General features: G+C 39.0%; 1 protein-coding gene and 1 long non-coding RNA gene across 12 annotated transcripts in view, besides 1 other annotated feature; both read right to left on the minus strand.

The window, feature by feature from the left end:
- APP (amyloid beta precursor protein) overlaps positions 1–18,746 on the minus strand; it is a 290,579-nt gene that overhangs the window by 248,309 nt on the left and 23,524 nt on the right. Inside the window, exon 1 of one of the 11 annotated variants that reach the window (NM_001136016.3) lies at positions 11,295–11,532. The exons of the other annotated variants lie outside the window; for them this stretch is intronic. Coding sequence (NP_001129488.1) covers positions 11,295–11,336 — 42 coding nt within the window. The 5' untranslated portion in view covers positions 11,337–11,532. Of the gene's footprint in view, positions 1–11,294; positions 11,533–18,746 lie in introns of those variants that run through there. 11 annotated transcript variants of the gene reach the window in all.
- LOC124900466 (uncharacterized) overlaps positions 1–18,746 on the minus strand; it is a 34,434-nt gene that overhangs the window by 6,153 nt on the left and 9,535 nt on the right. The gene's annotated exons all lie outside the window — the stretch shown is intronic.
- Positions 10,754–11,953: an enhancer, noted in NCBI's record as "BRD4-independent group 4 enhancer chr21:27511930-27513129 (GRCh37/hg19 assembly coordinates)". NCBI's record gives its function as "activates an origin of replication core promoter dependent on BRD2, P300/CBP, MED14 and CDK7 cofactors, and independent of BRD4, by STARR-seq in HCT116 cells {active_cell/tissue: HCT116}" and the evidence as "EXISTENCE:reporter gene assay evidence [ECO:0000049][PMID:35650434]".

The following is an 18,746-nucleotide window of genomic DNA, read 5'->3' on the forward strand; positions in this document are numbered from 1 at the left end:
ATTTGAAATGGATGATCAAGCAAAACTTAACCAGATCATTCTGAGTGAAACAAAATAAACAAAACCAAAAGAAGCCTTAAAGGGAACAAAAGCAGGAGTGTTACCAAGCTCCTGCAGAAATGATGATTATAATAACACATCAGATTTGGCTCTAGGCAAAATAATTACATGACATGAAGAATTGAGAGCAAGAAAAGAGAGGATTAGAATGAAGGAGTGTTTCCAAAGGCCTAAAATATTTCAGAAGCAAATCATGAGCATTCAGAAAATGCCAAAAGGGTACAAGTCAAGAATTTTATAAGGTCCCAATGCAGTGTAAAATTCCAGGTCTTGGACAGGCACCATGGCTCACGCCTGTAATCCCAGCACTTTGGGAAGCCGAGGCAGGTGGATCATGAGGTTAGGAGTTCAAGACCAGCCTGGCCAAGATGGTGAAACCCCGTCTCTACTAAAAATACAAAAATTAGCCATGCGTGGTGGCAGCTGCCTGTAATCCCAGCTACTCAGGAGGCTGAAGCAGAGAATTGCTTGAACCCGGGAGGCAGAGGTTGCAGTGAGCTGAGATCACACCATGTATTCCAGCCTGGGTGACAGAGTGAGACTCCGTTTCAAAAAAAAAAAAAAATTTCAGGTCTTAGGTCTTTTAAACTATACAGGTGAACTAAATCATGGTGGTTTGTTCCAAACTAAGTTAAATTTTCACTTAGCGATATAAACGTGAGATGGCTAATGACAAGCAGATGCACAAATTTTATCACATCCCTGGATTCCTAAATTGCATTTGTGAAATTCAATAAAGTGACACGAAGTATAGACAATAAGTGAATAAGAACTAAGAACAGAAAAAGTAGAAGACATGGATATCTGCAGCAAAGCCCACACCCGAGGGGAGAAAAACATTAGTGCTGTTGTTTCCATGATACGAGCACAGGTTCCTACACTGATTTCACAATAAAAAATACAAATTACTTCTAATTTTCCCATTTTCACACAAGTGAAAGAGAGTTCAGCCCAATTTCTGAATTAAATTTTCCTTCCTATAGAGGGAAGGTCTTTAGAAAATCTTTACAAAATAGTACTACACATGCCTTGTGATATTAGGGTGATACGGTGATAAATTAAAAGCAACAGGTAATTAATATGATTAATGTAATACCCAGAGAACTTCACTATTTCTTAAATGTTTTCCTGAGATGTTATATTGAAACGTTGTGCTAAATGTCATTACATAAAATGTTGAGCATCACACAACAGCTGACAAACTAACCTTCCAAAAAGAAAGGAATAGATGGTCATTCACACGAAGGTTACATTTTACAAACAAAACTGGACACACAATACCATTCTGTGATGTTTAAGATACAACAAAACATGTACTGCTTTTTTAAAAATTGCTGTAATGAGGCTCTCACAGTTATTCACGTTTTATTTAGCTACAAGTTTTAAGATATCTGTGAAAGAAAACTTCTTTGTTTTAAGTTCTTGTTTGAAGATCACCAAGCTTCTATAGTGTCTCTCTGAAGTGGTGACACGCTGACTTCCAGGCACAAGCCAGGCACAAGAGAAGCTCTGCAGGAAACAGCAAGGCCACTCTCCATAAGGAGACAGGCTTGGCCATGACAACTGTGGCTTAGAGCTGAGGAGCACAGCAACTCACAACTAATGTCTTTGAATTTTAGGTACCAGCACTGAGAATCAAGTTCCTTTCCATGTTTTAAGAAACTAATAAAATCCTCAAGAAGACCTGTTTTAGATATTCATGACATTTCCTAAGGCATTCTATAATGTTAAAATACTTAGAAATGACTCAACCATTTGGCTAAGCTTACGCTAAGGGCAAATTCCTGTTTCTAGATGCGTCAGGTCTGGACAGCACCAATATGTGAGCTTCAACACCCAGAGACTTGACTTCTATTTAGCAATTTATATTTTTAGTAGTAGCCTTCCCTTCCTTCCTTCCTTACTATCACAGAAAAGAACAAAGAAAAAAAAATTCTGCTTCAAAAGCCAAAGAGTTCACTACTAAGAATAAATTCTATTATCTTCCTTAGACTATGCCTATTACTGGGTAATATAAATATATGTTGTTGGTCAGATGCAGTGGCTCCCGCCTGTAATCCCAGCACTTTGGGAGGCCGAGGCAGGTGGATCACGTGAGGTCGGGAGTTCGAGACCAGCCTGACCAACATGGAGAAACCCCTTCTCTACTAAAAATATAAAATTAGCTGGGCGTGGTGGCACTCACCCGTAATCCCAGCTACTCAGGAGGCTGAGGCAGGAGAATCGCTTGAACCCAGGAGGCGGAGGTTGCGGTGAGCCAAGATCGCACCACTGCACTCCGGCCCAGGTAACAAGAGCGAAACGCCACCTCAAAAAATAAATAAATAAATAAATAAATTAATTAATTAATTTAAAAAAAAAGGTCTGTTGTCAATGAAGTAGTGAAAAGGCCCGTAAAACAAAACACTTCATTATTTACCAAAGGAGCACCGAGGTTTTCCAGCGAAATGCAACCATTTTATTGTTCACAGTGATTCTATAAACGTTTTTCCTTTAAGACAATTGCGCATAGAGCAATACACTCAGTCAGTCACTCATATATTTGTTGGCTCTTTTTACTAAGCCAAAACAAAGATTATTAAACTCTTATTAGAGACAACAACAGTGTAATGGAGGCATGCTTAAATAAGGGAAATAAGAAAATTTATACTATACTGAGTATAATTTAAGCATTGATAGCCAAATGACCAATACGGCAATACTTGAGAAATGTCCAGTCATAAGAAGCTCCTCTGAACGATAAAGCCAAACTTACTGACAACTGACTTGAACTAATACCTAATTCAAGTCATCTGAGAGATCTAACCAACTGTTCTCATCAGTGAGAAACATTATATGTTATCTATTGCACAATATGACTGAAAGATAGTCATGTCTTGAATCTCAAATCTTCAGAATGATAAACCACAAAACTCTACTTTGACACCTAATGTATACAGATGAATGTCTGTCTACTTCCTACTGGAATCGTGATAGTTGAATTAAGATTTTTTTTTTTTTCACTCAGATCCTGTTTTCTTAAATAAGGAAAAACAATAATAAACTTACCATATTAAACAACTAAAAATCAGTTGTCCATAGATGACAAATGTGATACAATCTAGCTGTCACTAGATAAAAGGTTAATTTTGTAAACAGAGTCAGTTAAAAAAATAAACAAAAAAATAAGCAATTTAAGATAAAAGTACTTTGGCATGGTGAGACATTACACTCACTGGGGCCAGGAGTTCAAGGCTGTAGTTTGCTATGATCGAGCCTGTGAATAGCTACTGCACTCCAGCCTCACATAGGGAGACCCTATCTCTTTAAAAAAGAAAAAAGTGATGTCTCAAATATGGTGTTTGGGACTCACTAAAAATAACTAAATTTAAGGGGGAAAGATTAAATTGGTATTATATATGCCATATGCTTAAATTCTGATTTTAGCTCAACCTTATAATTAAATCTGTACTTTGCACCCATTAGACATTTCAGCAAACTGAAGTTCATTCAAATCAAAATCTACAAAAAGAACAAGATCCCAAGGCACTGAATTAGACTTTTAATATTCAAGATGTAAAATAGGCACTCTTTTAAGAAATTACTTTTAGTTCTCCTCTACCTTTAAAAAAAAGTTTCTCTCCTACTCGTGAACTAATTCAGAACTTTACATTTCTGTTACACAGCATATGATTTCTGCTTTATTACTTGGATATCTGTTTAGTATTCACAACATATATGTATCTCCATTAAGCCCAGAATTCTTTGACAGATGGTCTCACCCAAAGAACTCATAAATACTTGATTACTTCAACTTAGTTTGCAAAAATTAAAAAATCAGTAAATTATGTTACAGACTATAGTATTTTGAGTGTTAAAATCACTTCTAAAGAACACCATCACAACAGAACCCTAAATTCAGAATCGGGTTGACATGGTCTAAGAAAGTGAATAAACGGGTAAGTGATCTTCCTAGTGCATCATATTCTACACTAAAAATTCACCATTTATACTTCATTTCTGAAACTCAATGTCAAAGAGAAGATTAAAAATCTGGGGGCTGGGCACAGTGGCTCATGCCTGTAATCACAGCACTTAGGGAGGCATGGGTGGGTAGATCCCTGAGCTCAGGAGTTGGAGACCAGCCTGGGCAACATGGCAAAACCCCGTCTCTAAAAAAAGATACAAAAATTAGCTGGGCATGGTGGTGCATGCCTGTAGTCCCAGCTACTTAGGAGGCTGTGGAGGGAGGATCGCTTGAGCCCAGCAGGTCAAGGCTGCAGTCAGCCAAGATTGTGCCACTGCACTCCAGCAGAGTAAAACCCTGCCCCATCTCTCAAAGACAAAACAAAACAAAACATCTGACAGTTCCTGAGTAATCGGCAGCCTACGTAAGGAACCTATTAATACTGCATATGCAATTTTTATTAACACACTTGCCAATATCCTCATTTTAGGACTAGTCTAATGTTTGTATGATGCCAGACTAATTTTGAATGTCTGAATTATTCACAATTACTAGGAAGACAAATCATTAGACTATGGATTCAGTCTACAATCTTATTCTATATCTTTTGGCTATGTTAACTGATTAACAACTAGAATAGGCCGGGCGCGGTGGCTCATGCCTGTAATCCCAGCACTTTGGGAGGCCGAGGCGGGTGGGATCATGAGGTCAGGAGTTGAAGACCAGCCTGGCCAAGATGGTGAAACCTCATCTCTACTAAAAATACAAAAACTACAGCACGCTTGTAATCCCAGCTACTCGGGAGGCTGAGGCAGGAGAATCGCTTGAACCTGAGGGGCAGAGGTTGCAGTGAGCCGAGATCGCACCACTGCACTCCAGCCTGGGCGACAGAGCGAGACTCTGTCTCAGAAACAAAACAAAACAAATAACTGGAATAAAGAAAACAGTTCCCTGTCCGTATCAAACCAATCAGAACCAATATAAGAAAATGCTCTTCCACCAAAATACAGATTTGATATGGTTGACCAGATAATACATTTCTCTTCCTGGCCCTAATCTAGAACTTAACTTGGTTGTGACTTTGATTTCTGACATTTACAAAATGGCATTCAGTCCTTTATAACCCATTGACTTCGCTTATGTTGAAATTCCTTTGCAGGAGTTTCCAAACATGTTAAAGTACAGCATTTGGAGGAGAAGCAATGTTTGCCTCCTGGACTCAAGCGATCTTCCCACTCAGCCTCCTGAGTAGCTGGAACCACAGGTGCACACCACCACTCCCAGCTATATTTGTAGAGATGAGGTCTCCCTATGTTGCCCAGGCTCATGACAAGGAATACTGCATGCCAATAATGGATGCCAGCTGAGTGTCCTCTAATTCAACTGGATTCTGACACTGTACTTGGAGATTACACATCCCACAGGCTGAGGGCTCAGTACCACAAAACTCCCCCAACTTCAGATGTCAATCACAAGCCCCAGGTTGTAGCCTGTGCTTCTGACCAACTGGCTACCATTCCCCAGACCCCTTACTTCGTTTTGATTCATTGCTGGAGCACCTTCAGAGAACTAAGAGAAATACTTGCTTACATTCACCCATTTATTTTAAAGGATATTACAAAGGACACACAGATGAACAGCCAGATGGAAGAGATGCACGGGGTGAGGTGCGGCTGAAGAGAAAACGAGATTCCATGCCCTTTCCTGACATCCAACCCTCCAGGAACCTCCATGTGTTCAGCTATCTGGAAGTTCCCAGAACGCGGTCCTTCAGGGTTGTTAAGAAAGCTTCATTATGTAGGTATCATTGATCATTAGTTTATCAACTCAAACTTCAGCTCCTGGAGGTTGGGGAGGGTGACTGAAAGTCCTAACCCTCTAATCACATGGTAGGTTACCCAGCCACCAGTCATCTCATTAGCATATAAGACCTTCTTAGCACTGGAGATTCCAAGGATTTTAGGAGCTAAATGTCAGGAAACATATACATCAGGAAGACCAAATAGATGCCACAGTATCACATGACCATTTTCTTGGAGTCAAGATATTTGTTCTTCCTTAAAACTTCGATGTTTCTAAATATCCAAGGTATCCACATAAGGTTAAAAATAAACTTCTCACCACTCCACTTGTCATTTAAAATCATCCAACATTTTAACATTTCATCAAATCTCTATATCTATACAATAGTGCCCATCTCTTCATGTTTTTAAGAGCCCTGTCCTCACACTATTCTTAGTGAATAGACAGCAAGAGATATTATTCCCTTCTTACAATTATGCTCTGTGCATAATAAGATAGCAAGCCAAAGATAAAGCCAGGATTAGAAGTACTTTCTTAAATTGAGAGCTTATCAGAAGGTAAAGCTGGCTAACATGATTATCTATGTAACAGCACCAGACCTTCTCACTTCGAAATTCAAGACATCTCCAACCACTCAGAAAGGGTATGGGGGTTGAAAACAGCCACATTATATGCACGACTTCTATAACTTAAAGATAGCCAAGTTCATATCAAACTAAGTTATTGAATTTTATATCACTTTCTAACAAGTAATCATAGAACCATGACAAAACATACAAAATACAGAAGTTTTCTCCTTGACTTGGTGCAAATTCAATCCAATTACTCCACAGACCTCTTTTATTTTAGTCACTCAAACTTTGATTTTTCATTTCCTTAGTCGTACATTAGGACAAATGCAAATTATATACAGAAGGCAGCACATTTAGCCTTATTATCTCAAACTCATTCCTAAGCAAGTACATCTGCCTGGATGGTGAGGCCTCCATCAGAGGTTAAATGCAAGCCCTAGCTGGAAAGTTACTGGAAGGGCATGTGTCCTACCTGCCTTTCTCTCTCATCATCCCAGATCTTTATCTCCCCAATGTCACCACATTAGGAGTGTTTTGCATATAAATCAAAACGAAGCCCCAGAGAGCCCTTGGTAGGAATATCTGGACTTGTGTTTTAGAAATAGTTTTGTCAGCCAGGCACGGTGGCTCACACCTGTAATCCCAGCACGCTGGGTGGCCGAGGCAGGCGGATCACGAGGTCAGAAGTTCGAGACCAGCCTGAACAACACAGTGAAACCCTGCCTCTACTAAAAATACAAAAATTAGCCAGGCATCGTGGTGCACACCTGTAATCCAGCTACTCAGGAGGCTGAGGCAGGAGAATCGCTTGAACCCAGGAGGCAGAGGTTGCAGTAAGCCAAGATCACACCATTGCACTCCAGCCTGGGCAACAGAGTGAGACTCTGTCTCAAAAAAGAAAAAAGAAAAGAAAAGAAAAGAAAAGAAAGAAAAGAAAGAAAGAAAGAAAGAAAGAAAGAAAGAAAAGAAAAGAAAGAAAAGAAATAGTTTTGTCACATACACATCTGTGATCCTCTCACTCTGCACGCCACTGCCTCTCTGAAAGAACCAACATACCACACAGGCACGCACACGATGGACAATATACAGCCACCGAGCAATCATATACATCTTTTAAAAAGAAACAGGCAATTTCATGATTCTACTGTACCCTGGATCCATCAGGCTTTATCTAGGGAGTGCTATTTTTAAAATATGTACAGGCTTTTTTAGGTCCTCAGTAAGATCATGGAAGTGTTTTGCTCCCTAAGGAAAACTGAAATTTGAGGTATAAGACTGGAGTTTTACACCTCTAGAATTCATCTTTGGTAACCATGCCCATTTGATTTATAAATAATCTAAAAATATGGATTTTTAAGGAGCAGTGTATTTACCTTAGTCCACCTCATCTTTTTCTTTTCAGGAATGTTATCACAAAAATGTGTGCTGATTACTTCCTTGTATCTGAGCTTTGAGCAACTTACAAGGCAGACACTGGACCTAAAACACAGGTTGGTTGTTTTAGAAGAAGAAAAAAAAAAAGCTGGTTTTAAATCTGGATTTAAGTCTTGGCCCTGACTCCAAAGCAGGCCAGTTTATGTGCCTGTCTTCTGTTGCCAGATCTGTAGAAACTAGAATGTCATTCTCCGCTGAGAAACCACAAACTAGTTTCCTTAGACCATTCGTCTTCCTTTTTGAGACAGTCTCAATGTCACCCAGGCTGGAGTGCAGTGGCGCGATCTCTGCTCACTGCACCTATGCCTCCTGGGTTCAAGAGATCCATCTCTGCTCACTGCACCTATGCCTCCTGGGTTCAAGAGATCCTCCCGCCTCCACCTCCGCCTCCTGAGTAGCTGGGACTACAGGCATGCGCCACCACACCCAGCTAATTTTTCCTATTTTCAGTAGAGACAGCATTTGGCCATGTTGCCCAGGCTAACATCAAGTGATCCGCCCACCTCGGCCTCCCAAAGTGCTGGGGTTACAGGCATGAGCCACTGCGCCTGGCCCTCCTTAAACCATTAGTTTTCAAACCGTATTTGAAGTTCCTCAGAGGTGCGCCAGTATTTGAGAGAAGGTTAAGGTTTCAATGAGAGCAAATGAGATTTTAAAATCTTTTCTATAAACGGGGGTTCTATCCCATCTAAATTTTGCTTTTTTATGAAAAGGGTTACTGCCCTTTTTTTAAACCTAAGTAAAAACCCATACCCTTTACTTTGTTACAGGTGTGTTATAATTTCAAGTTGTCTTTTAAGTATGAGATAACTTTCATTGTTACAAAACAAGTGGGTTGGGAGTGGATCAACGAGACGGAGGTTTGCTCCTTCATTTAACAAAGAAACAAGACCAGAGAGCTCTTTCCTCACTGGGAGTTAGAAATGACCACAGACGCTAAGAACAGAAAGCAAGACACCAAAACTAAGAAAGGTTTTAGGAGCTACAATCTCTCATTTAGAAACTCCAGATAGAATTTTAAAGAAAAAAGTAAAAACAATATATTTCTACAATTCAAATAATATAAGTCAGAGTAAAAAACAAACAAACAAACCTACTTAGCACAACATAAAAATATTCTGGTTACTCATCCTAGAGATTTAAAAAAAAATCAGGAGGTGAGGCAGGTCCTATTTTTGTTCCTTCATTTAGTGGATCTGAGTCATGGCTGTTCCAATGATTTTCCTGATGAAACAAAATACATGTTTGTTCCATCAACAAAGGGCTACCCTAGGAAACTCATCTTCTACTGCAGTAAGAAGGGTATCATAGGTATTTTTTGTGGTTCTAATGGGTACTCAGAAAATCCTTATGTGATTTAATATACTCTTAAAAGGACCGTCTGAAACCAAAACATGTACTAATATCCAGTGGCCTTTCTCTCTGTATACTGGTTTAATAATAACATTCTGCATCAAATCCTTTCAGAAACCTATGAACAGAAGTAAAATGATATGATACCTGAGAATTATTTTAAAATGCTTCAGAAAAGAAAATGGGGCAGGGGGAGGTGCTGAAACAAGAACAGCAAAATGTGGTCAATTTTTGAAGCTGGATGATGTATATGTCTGAAATTTAACATAATAAGTTTTAAAATCTTCTTAGAGAGTTGGCAGATCATATACTATACACAAATATTGTACATGTTATAGGATCAAAATATGGGATTAAACTAAGGGACTGAAACTACTTATAGAATGTCATTCTCAAGCCAGGCACAGTGGCTGATGCCTATAATCCCAGCACTTTGGGAGATTTCTTGAGCCCAGGAGTTCAACACTAGCCTGGCCAACACAGCGAAACTCTGTCTCTACAAAAAAAAAAAAAAAAATTAGCCAGGCATGGTGTTCCTCTCCTGTAGTCCTAGCTACTTAGGAGGCTGAGGCGGGAGGATCGCTTGAGACAAGGAGGTTAAGGCTACAGTAAGCCATGATGACTCCATGGCACTCCATCCTGGGTGACAGAGAGATAGCCTGTCTCAGAAAACAAAACAAAACAAAACAAAACAAAACAAAACAAAATCCTCCTGCAAATATTCTGTTGGTGGATAGTTTTCAATGTATACAATACAGTCAGTACCTGTTACTCAATATTTATCCATTGCAAACACAACACAGAAACCTAAGGAACTCAAAAAGCAAACTGACATTTGTCAGGAACTGCTCCCTTGTTGGTCAAAGAAGAGGAAAAGGAGGGCTTTCTTCGATATTATTGTCTACTTTCTTGGTAAGCAATAAAGTGTTTGCAGTTTTATGTAGACTGGCGGGGTGGGGCGGGGAATTGTGACACGGTTACACTTTCGTATATATCAAGTTACTCCCATACATGATTTTAGGTAGAGTCTGTATTTTAATGTGGTAGAAAGGGGTGATTAGTATCTTGAACTGCAGAGGCTACAAAAAACAATGATGCAACATTACGTAAGGGATGAGAAATAAGTAAATAAGTAAAAAAAAATAAGTAAATTGAAAAGTTTGTTAATGCACAAAACCAAGTAACTGGAGAGAAAAGGACAGAAGAGTCAAAGAATCAAGGTCCCCAGACCTAGAGTGAGAATGTACATTATCGTGTGCATACCTTAATCTCAAATATAAGCTCATTATCAAATAATTGTGCAAAAAAATCATCTGTTACCTTGTGAAGGATAGAAAGGGTTATTTCTTCCAAAGCTCAAAATGTGGTCCACAGATAAGGTAAGGTTACATTAGTGGTTCTCCAATTTTAACTTGCACCAGACTCTACTCAAGGTTTTGTTAAATAGATCTCTGGGCCCACTCCCAGAAAACGGTTTGAGAACTATGTGTTTATACTATGGCTAATTCTTGCAAATCATCTGATTTTGAAACCAGTCACAATTTTTTGAAACATTCTATGAGAAACATCTTATTAATAAGAATTTTCAACAGGGCTCAGTGGCTCACGCCTGTATCCCAGCACTTTAGGAGGCCGAGGCAGGCAGATCACGAGGTCAAGAGATCAAGACCATCCTGGCCAACATGATGAAACCTCGTCTCTATTAAAAATACAGAAATTAGCTGGACGTGGTGGCACACACCTGTAGTCCCAGCTACTCAGGAGGCTGAGGGAGGAGAATTGCTTGAAGGATGCAGTGAGCCAATATCGGGCCACTGCACTCCAGCCTGGCAACAGAGCGAGACTCCGTCTCAAAACAAACAAACAAACAAACAAACAAACAAACAAACAAACAATTTTCTGGCAAAGTAAGAGTATTTTACAAAGAGAACAATCACACTGGTAGAGAACTGCACTGCATGGATGGCCAAATTAAATCATTACACCAAATAATTTGCAAACTTCATCCCTACTTTGGTCACAATAAGTAACATTGTACTTTTGAAAGATATTACTGTCTGAGAACAGAGTTTCATCTTACCCAAATACAGACTAAAAACAATGCCAACTTCACAGTACTCACTTACATAGTTGATAAACAGAACCAACAAGTCCTCTAATTGGTCCATTTGAATCTGGGGAAGAGCTGGCTCCAATCATTGTCAATTACATCAGCAACTGTGGAATACTCCCTGAGATCAACAAACTGTTAACTGCAGTGACCACAACTTGACCCAGGCCAGAGCTTCCATCCTCGGGAGGGTGAGTCAACAGCATGTCAACACTAACCCAACTTCTACCACGCACAGCAAGGCTGTGCTATTTAGGCGTGGATCACACGCACACTGCGCCAACTTCTAAGCTAACAATGGACAACCAAAGCCTCCGGAACTCTGTCTTGGGTAGAGTAAATCAATTTCCTTTTGTAGGATTTTCTTGGCACAAAGCCAAGTGTCAGGGGCTGTGGAGAAGGAACTGCTGGCCCAAATTCCATCCAAGGTTGACCAGTGGTTTAATCCCTTCTCTAAATCAGGCCTCTGGCAAAACAGCTAGAATCAGGAAGCCAATTCATATTTAACAAATTCAAAGTCTATCACAACACAGGAACTTGTTAGGCAAGAAGATAACTGAATGAACACCTTTAAAAATTCTGCTTTTTTAACAAAAGCTGTCTACATTATTTTCTCATGGGAGTTTTGGTACTAGTGTTAATTCATAGACTCTCCCTTAAACTCAAATAAATTATCTATTGAAAGAATGGCAAGAAGTACTGCCAAACTTCATAGGGTGGTTGGGCTAAATGTTCTCAAGTTCTTTTCCAACGTTAAAACAACCGGATTATAAGAAACAATTCATTTAATGGAGCATTCTGGAGGAGTAAAGACAGAGGATTTGGAATGAGACTGCATAGGTTTAAATTCTAACACTAACTGTAATTCTGGCCAAAAGGTTATGATGTGGGGTCCTCATCTGTAAAATGGAGTATCTATCTCATGGAGTCAGTGTGAGAATTAAATAAGCACATAAATTTCTCAACATGACGCCTGGCACCTAGTCAACACTCAAAATAGAGGAAGGCTAATAATGATGACATGCAAATCTGATATTGCAAATACCAACGCAAAGAGTCTAATGAAAACTTTCTAAATTATATGTCATTGGTTCATTATTTAAGCTTCTGAGGTTTGTACAAGCACAGATTAACTCAAATGTTACTTAACGTTTTACATTTACTATAAACACCCTGATGATGTATTTTACAGTTTCTTGATTTTTCCCTACAGTTTGGGCACAGTCTTATTATGACAGAAAAGAAAGCAACAAACCCAAAGGAAAGGCTTTTCCCTAGACTGCTTTTAATTTTCTATTAACTGCCCAATTTTGAAAAATAGATCTACAAAACTGGGTTCTGGATGACTGAGTTCTTTTACTTTGGGGACAAGAGCTGATGCTAAAGGAGAAGACAGAGGATTAAGAAATTTACATTCTGTCATTTACAAACATGGGTATGAACATGAACAGAGCCTCTGAAAACATCTGGCAAATAGAAGACACTATGAGCCAATCAATCACCAATGCTGGCTTAGTAGTCATATTAATAAATACTTGCTGAGTATATACTATGTTCTCTGGGCTGTATTATTTCTTTTACGCCTCACAACAACCCTAAGTTTGGTACTTTTCTATCGGTTCCAGTTTACAAATGAAGAAACAGGGAAGAGTAAGGGGAGTTTTCAAAAAGAAATAATATCAACAGTTATTACATCAAGGGTTTCACAAATGAAGCATTCAAAAATTCAGAAAGGCAATGAATTGCTTTGCTAGACCTGTGGAAGGCCCTCAACCTGCACAGGTAGCCAACACCCGGTACATACCCAATTACATCCAGTTAGGTCACCTCTGTATGGCTGCAAGGAGCCAGGGCCATGTGTGGTGCCTAGCCACACTATATACATAACCTGGGAACCATGCAGCAAGATGGAAGAATAGGAAACAGTATCCAGAATCCAGATGTTAGATCTCAGGGGTAGGGTATGCACAAGGAGTATTTGCACCATTTAAGGTGATAACGCTGCTGTCTCATGGCAACATGCGGGGCAGTATAAGAGGCTTGGTAAATATCCACTGGACCTTCCCTAAGCTTAGCACAATGCGTCCTGGATGGAGAAAATATCAAAGCCACCAATCTGAGCATGTTGTGGAACCAGAGAGACTTAAGAGGCTGCACCACCACACAGCCCTCACTCGATCTTTCTAGGCTCTGCTAAGAATGTTGCTGCTGGCTCACTGCAGAAACTAACACTTACTCAAAGATGGTGCATCCTGTGCTTATTTTCACCAAGCCTCATATCCCCTTCTCTGCCAGACCATTTTAATACCATTAGATACTTCCCTATTCAAAATTAAGACAGTGTCACTGGGGCCAGGCACGGTGGTTGATGTCTATAATTCCAGCACTTTGGGAGATAGAGGTCGGAGGCTCGCCTGAGGCCAGGAGTTCAAGACCAGTCTGGGCAACACAGCAAGACCCCATCTCTACAAAAAATCTTTAAAACTGCTGGGCCTGGTGGTGCAAACCTGTAGTCCCAGCTACTCAGGAGGCTGAGGTGGCAGCATCGCTTGAGCCCAGGAAGCCGAGGCTGCAGTGAGCTAAGACCACACCACTGCACTCTAGCCTTGGCAGCAGACTGAGATCCTGTCTCAAAAAAAAAGTAAAGAAAAAGTGAAAAAAAACAAAAATAGTGTCACTCAGCATCACTTAAGAAAATTAATAAAAATAGGTACTACCTGTATTTCAGAGATAAGTAAAACTTATGTTGAAATGGTCAATGCTAGATTTTTATAAAAAGATGTCCAATTTTTAAAAACTCATTCAAGTTATAAGAAATTTTATAATCTTTATTCCATGTCAAAGATAGGCATTAGAAAAATTCAGTATTACTTTACTTTCCATAATTGTCAACTTTTATAAACAATGTGGTGGAGTGGGAATTAAAATCTGATAATAGTTTTGATCCATAAAATGAGTGGGAAAATCAATTTTAAGGCAGAAAAAAATGCTTCAAGTTAAACACTTACTATTAAATATTTAAACAAAAAAATGTAATAAAGATACCTTCAAAACTGGCTGGGTGTGATGGCTCATGCCTATAATCCTAATATGTCGGGAGGCCAAGGCAGGAGGATCACTTAGCCTAGGAGTTTGAGACCAGCCTAAGTAACATAGCAAGACCCAGTCTTAAAAAATAATAATGATGATGAAGTTTTGATAATCAAAAGTTATTATCCCTTTTGGCTTTACCATAGAGCTACAGATAGGTGTCCTGGTTAGGTCACTTCTTTTATTCTTCCCTAGCTTTACTGAAGTATAATTGACAAAAATTATGTATATTCAATGTATACAACGTGATGTTTTGATATATGTATACACTGTGAAATGATTATCACAATCAAGCTAATTAACATATCCATCACCTCAGAGTTACTTTTTTTGTTCTGTGTGGTAAGAATATTTAACATTTACTCTCGCAGACGTTTTCAAGTGTACAATTCACTATTATTAACTAGTCACTAGGCTGTACATTAGGTATTAATCTCATAACTGCAAGTTTGCACCCTTTGACCAACATCGCCTCACTTCCCCCACATCCAAACCCTGGTAACACCACCCTTCTACTCTTGTTTCCATGAGTTTGAGTGTTTTAGGTTCCACATATAAATGAAATCATGCAGTATTTGTTTTTCTGTGTCTGGCTTATTTCACTTAGCTTAAGGCCATAAGTACCAGGGGCCTGGATTTCAACCTCACCCCTATTGTTTATTGCTACTTGGGTCAAATTATGTAGCCTCCCTGTATTAATCTGATCTCACGCTGCTAATGAAGACATATCCAAGACTCAGTAATTTATAAAAGAAACAGGTTGAACTGACTCACAGTTCAGCATGGCTGGGGAGGCCTCAGGAACCTTACAATTAGGGTAGACGGGGAGGCAAACACGTCCTTCTTCACATGGTGGCAGGAAGAAGAAGTGCCAAGCAAAAGGGGGGAAAAGTCCCTTATAAAGTGATCAGTTCTCGTGAGAACTAACTCACTATTACCAGAACAGGATGGGGGAAACCGCCTCTATGATTCAGTTATCTCCACCTGGTCCCTCCCACTACACATGGGGATTATGGGGACTACAATTCAAGATGAGATCCAGGTGGGGATGGAGCCAAACCACATCACTCACTGAACCTCATTTTGTTTATACTTCATTTTGAGATAGTATTTGCTCTGCCTTTCTGATAAAGCTATGCAGAATACCAAGTTAGTACCTGGTTTCATATATGGTTTATAATACATTATTCCTGATACAATCTCAATTTACTGTTTTTATACAGCCTATTACTGCACAAACATTTTATATCTTAAGCAATGTGGATTTTATTATAATCTCCTACACTAAATAGTTATAAAAACATTAGCTATTGGTTTGGGAAAGGCTACACTCAATCTTAAATTTAAAAGTCAGTTACAATTTTCCATTAAAAAAATACAAAATAAGCTACAGATGTCTTATCATGGTCAATTCTCTTGAACAACTTTCTGGGTTAAAATGCAGAAAATATAACAGATCTCAGTATACAATTCAGTGGGAGAAAGAACAGTTCCACTAAACTGCTTTCTTCTGACTTACCATGAGAATTCCAAAGATAGCATTAATGTCAACTTGAAAAATGATATTACAAGCACCAATGCTAGAAATTTTAGATCGAGGGAGTTGCTCCTTGATGTTCAATGTGCTGAACAAAGTAAAGCAAATGGGCCTGAAGTAATAATTTATGCTTCCAGTACTTTCAAAAGCAAGTTTTGATATAAGAATCAGTTACCCATGAAAATAGATGAAATTCACTGAAATGACCTAGTTTTATAATACAATAAAACGTTCTTTTCAACTTTATAAAAGTAATGTTCCTCTGAAGAACAGCTGGGAGGATTCTAGATATCACATCAAAATACGTGCCTTCCTAACATTAGAGATGTTTTACGTGGAATGGGATGGCTTGCCTGTGGGATGAAGTCTCTGGGGAGAACTATCAAAAGCTGGCTGACTACCTACCAGGAATGGCAGAACCAAGGAGTCCTACATTCAAGATGTGCCAAGAGGGAGCAGCCTCTAAGGCAGTGATCTCTAACCTTTTTGGCACCAGGGACTGGTTTTGTGGAAGACCATTTATCCATGGGGTGTTGGGGGTGGGATGGCATGAGACTGGATGGGATGGGATGGTTTTGGGATGAAACTCTTCCACCTCAGATCATCAGACATTAGTTAGATTCTCACAAGGACTGGACCAGGCAACCTGGATCCCTCCCATGTTTAGTTCACAATAGGTTTTGTGCTCCTGTGAGAATCTACTGCCAGGAAGCAGCACTCAGGCAGTAATGCTCACTGGCTCACCTGCCTGCCACTCACCTCCTGCTGTGTGGCCCGGTTCCTAGCAGGCCATGGACCAGTACCTGTCCATGGCTGGGTGTTGGGGACCCCTGCTCTAAAGTATCTGCGTACAGTTAAAAAGACTCAAATAGTACAAAAGGTGATAATATACAAAGTAAATATGTACTACCTTCTCCTCCATTCCAATGTTCTCATTGCCCAGAGTCAGATTTTGTCAGATTCACTTGAATCTGCTACTGACATAATACACATATAAATTTTCTGTTTTTTATATAAATTACTGTTTAATCTGTGATTATGCCTGCATTCTGAATGTTTTCACTTATATCGGTATGATTTTAGATATTTCTATACATCAGTATGGTTATGCCCACTTTTAATGTATCAGCATAATATTCTACTGTATAAGAGTTTTTTAAAGGCTTGCTTAGTTGATACAAATAATGCTCTCATAATATCCTCATCTGTGCGCATTTATACAATATACTATGAACTAATTAGTTTCTAGAATTCCTAGATCAAGGGATATGTACATAAAATTCTAAATGACTGATCTAAAAAATTTCTGTACCAGCTGCATGCAGCGGCTCATGCCTGCAGTGGGCAGATCACTTGAGGTCAGGAATTCGAGACCAGCCTGGCCAACATGGTGAAACCCTGCTTCTACTAAAAATACAAAAAATGAGCCAGGCGTGGTGGCTCACACCTGTAATCCCAGGTACTCGGGAGGCTGAGGCAGGAGAATCACTTGAACCTGGGAGGCAGAGGTTGCAGTGAGTCCAGACTGTGCCACTGTACTCCAAGCAAAGAAATATCTGTTATCAATTGACAGTAGATGAAAATGCCAATCTGGCAAGCCTTTTTAGTCTTTGCCCATCAGGGTTTTAAAAAACAATGTTATATCACTGTTTTACTTTGCATTTCCCTGACGACTATGAGATTGAGCATATCTTCATAGGTTTATTGGCTGTGTATTTTTTCCTGTGTACTATAAAATTCTTTGCCTTTTTTGTCCACGTCTAATAGAGATTCTGTTAGACATCCACACTGAAATATTTATACATAAAATTATAGAATTGAAATTATTTCAAAATAACCCAGTGAGGGAAAAGAGAATTGAGCAGGTTGAGAAAGGGGAATACAGATAAAACAAGACTGGGTGAGAGCTGATCATTGCTGAGCATTCAGCGCACTATTCTCTCTTGTGTATGTTTAATTCTTTTCATAATAAGTTTTCAAAAATGTTCATTTTTCTCTGAAGATGTTCATATTTAGTATTTCTTACTGATTTGTAAGAACACTTCATGGAATAAAAAAGTTTGCCTTTTGTTGCTGACAAACTGTACTGGGTACATAATACTAGGTAATCCAGTATTGGTACTGGGTAAATAATTACCCACCTTCCTTCTATGTACAGTCAGATAACCCAACACCATTAACTAAATAATCCATCTTTCCCCTTTCTGATGTAAAAAGACACTTTTATCTTGCACTAATTTCCAATATATGCACAACTTTATTTCTAGACTTCCAGTTTGCCCCATTGACCTATCTATGCATGGGATGTGCAGTTTTAATTTCTATATCTTTACATTTTGCTTCTGGTTTTTTATTGGCTATTCTTACCTAATGGTTTTTCCCAGATGACTTTTATAATAATTGTATTAATTTTCCTAAGTATCTACTACACTTATAAACACCCCTCCCTGCAGAACTCCTTCCCAAAGACAGAGAGCCTGCTTTTCTCTTTCACACTGGTATGTTTTTATGTTTCCACCTAGGGTCTCATCTGTTGCATGCAAGCTCAGAATTCACTTGACATGCTGATAGCATATAATGTTAAAGAATTCTTCTCTCAGTGTAAAAAATATTTAGCTACTGTGGAAGGTCAAACTGCTAAAACCGACTGGTGTAACATTTGAATGCTGCCCTTTATATAAGCTTTATTTTTATAAATAAGCATCTGACTAGAAAGTCAGTAAAAGAGCATGATATAATCAGTCTGAAGCCCAGTGTTTTAAATATAATACACTAATTTTAGACCCAAGTATTTTAGTTTTGCTTTATTGTCTACAGTTTCTTAAGAAGATGTAACTTAAA

This window comes from Homo sapiens, chromosome 21 (assembly GCF_000001405.40).
Source record: "Homo sapiens chromosome 21, GRCh38.p14 Primary Assembly".
Lineage (NCBI taxonomy): Eukaryota > Metazoa > Chordata > Mammalia > Primates > Hominidae > Homo > Homo sapiens.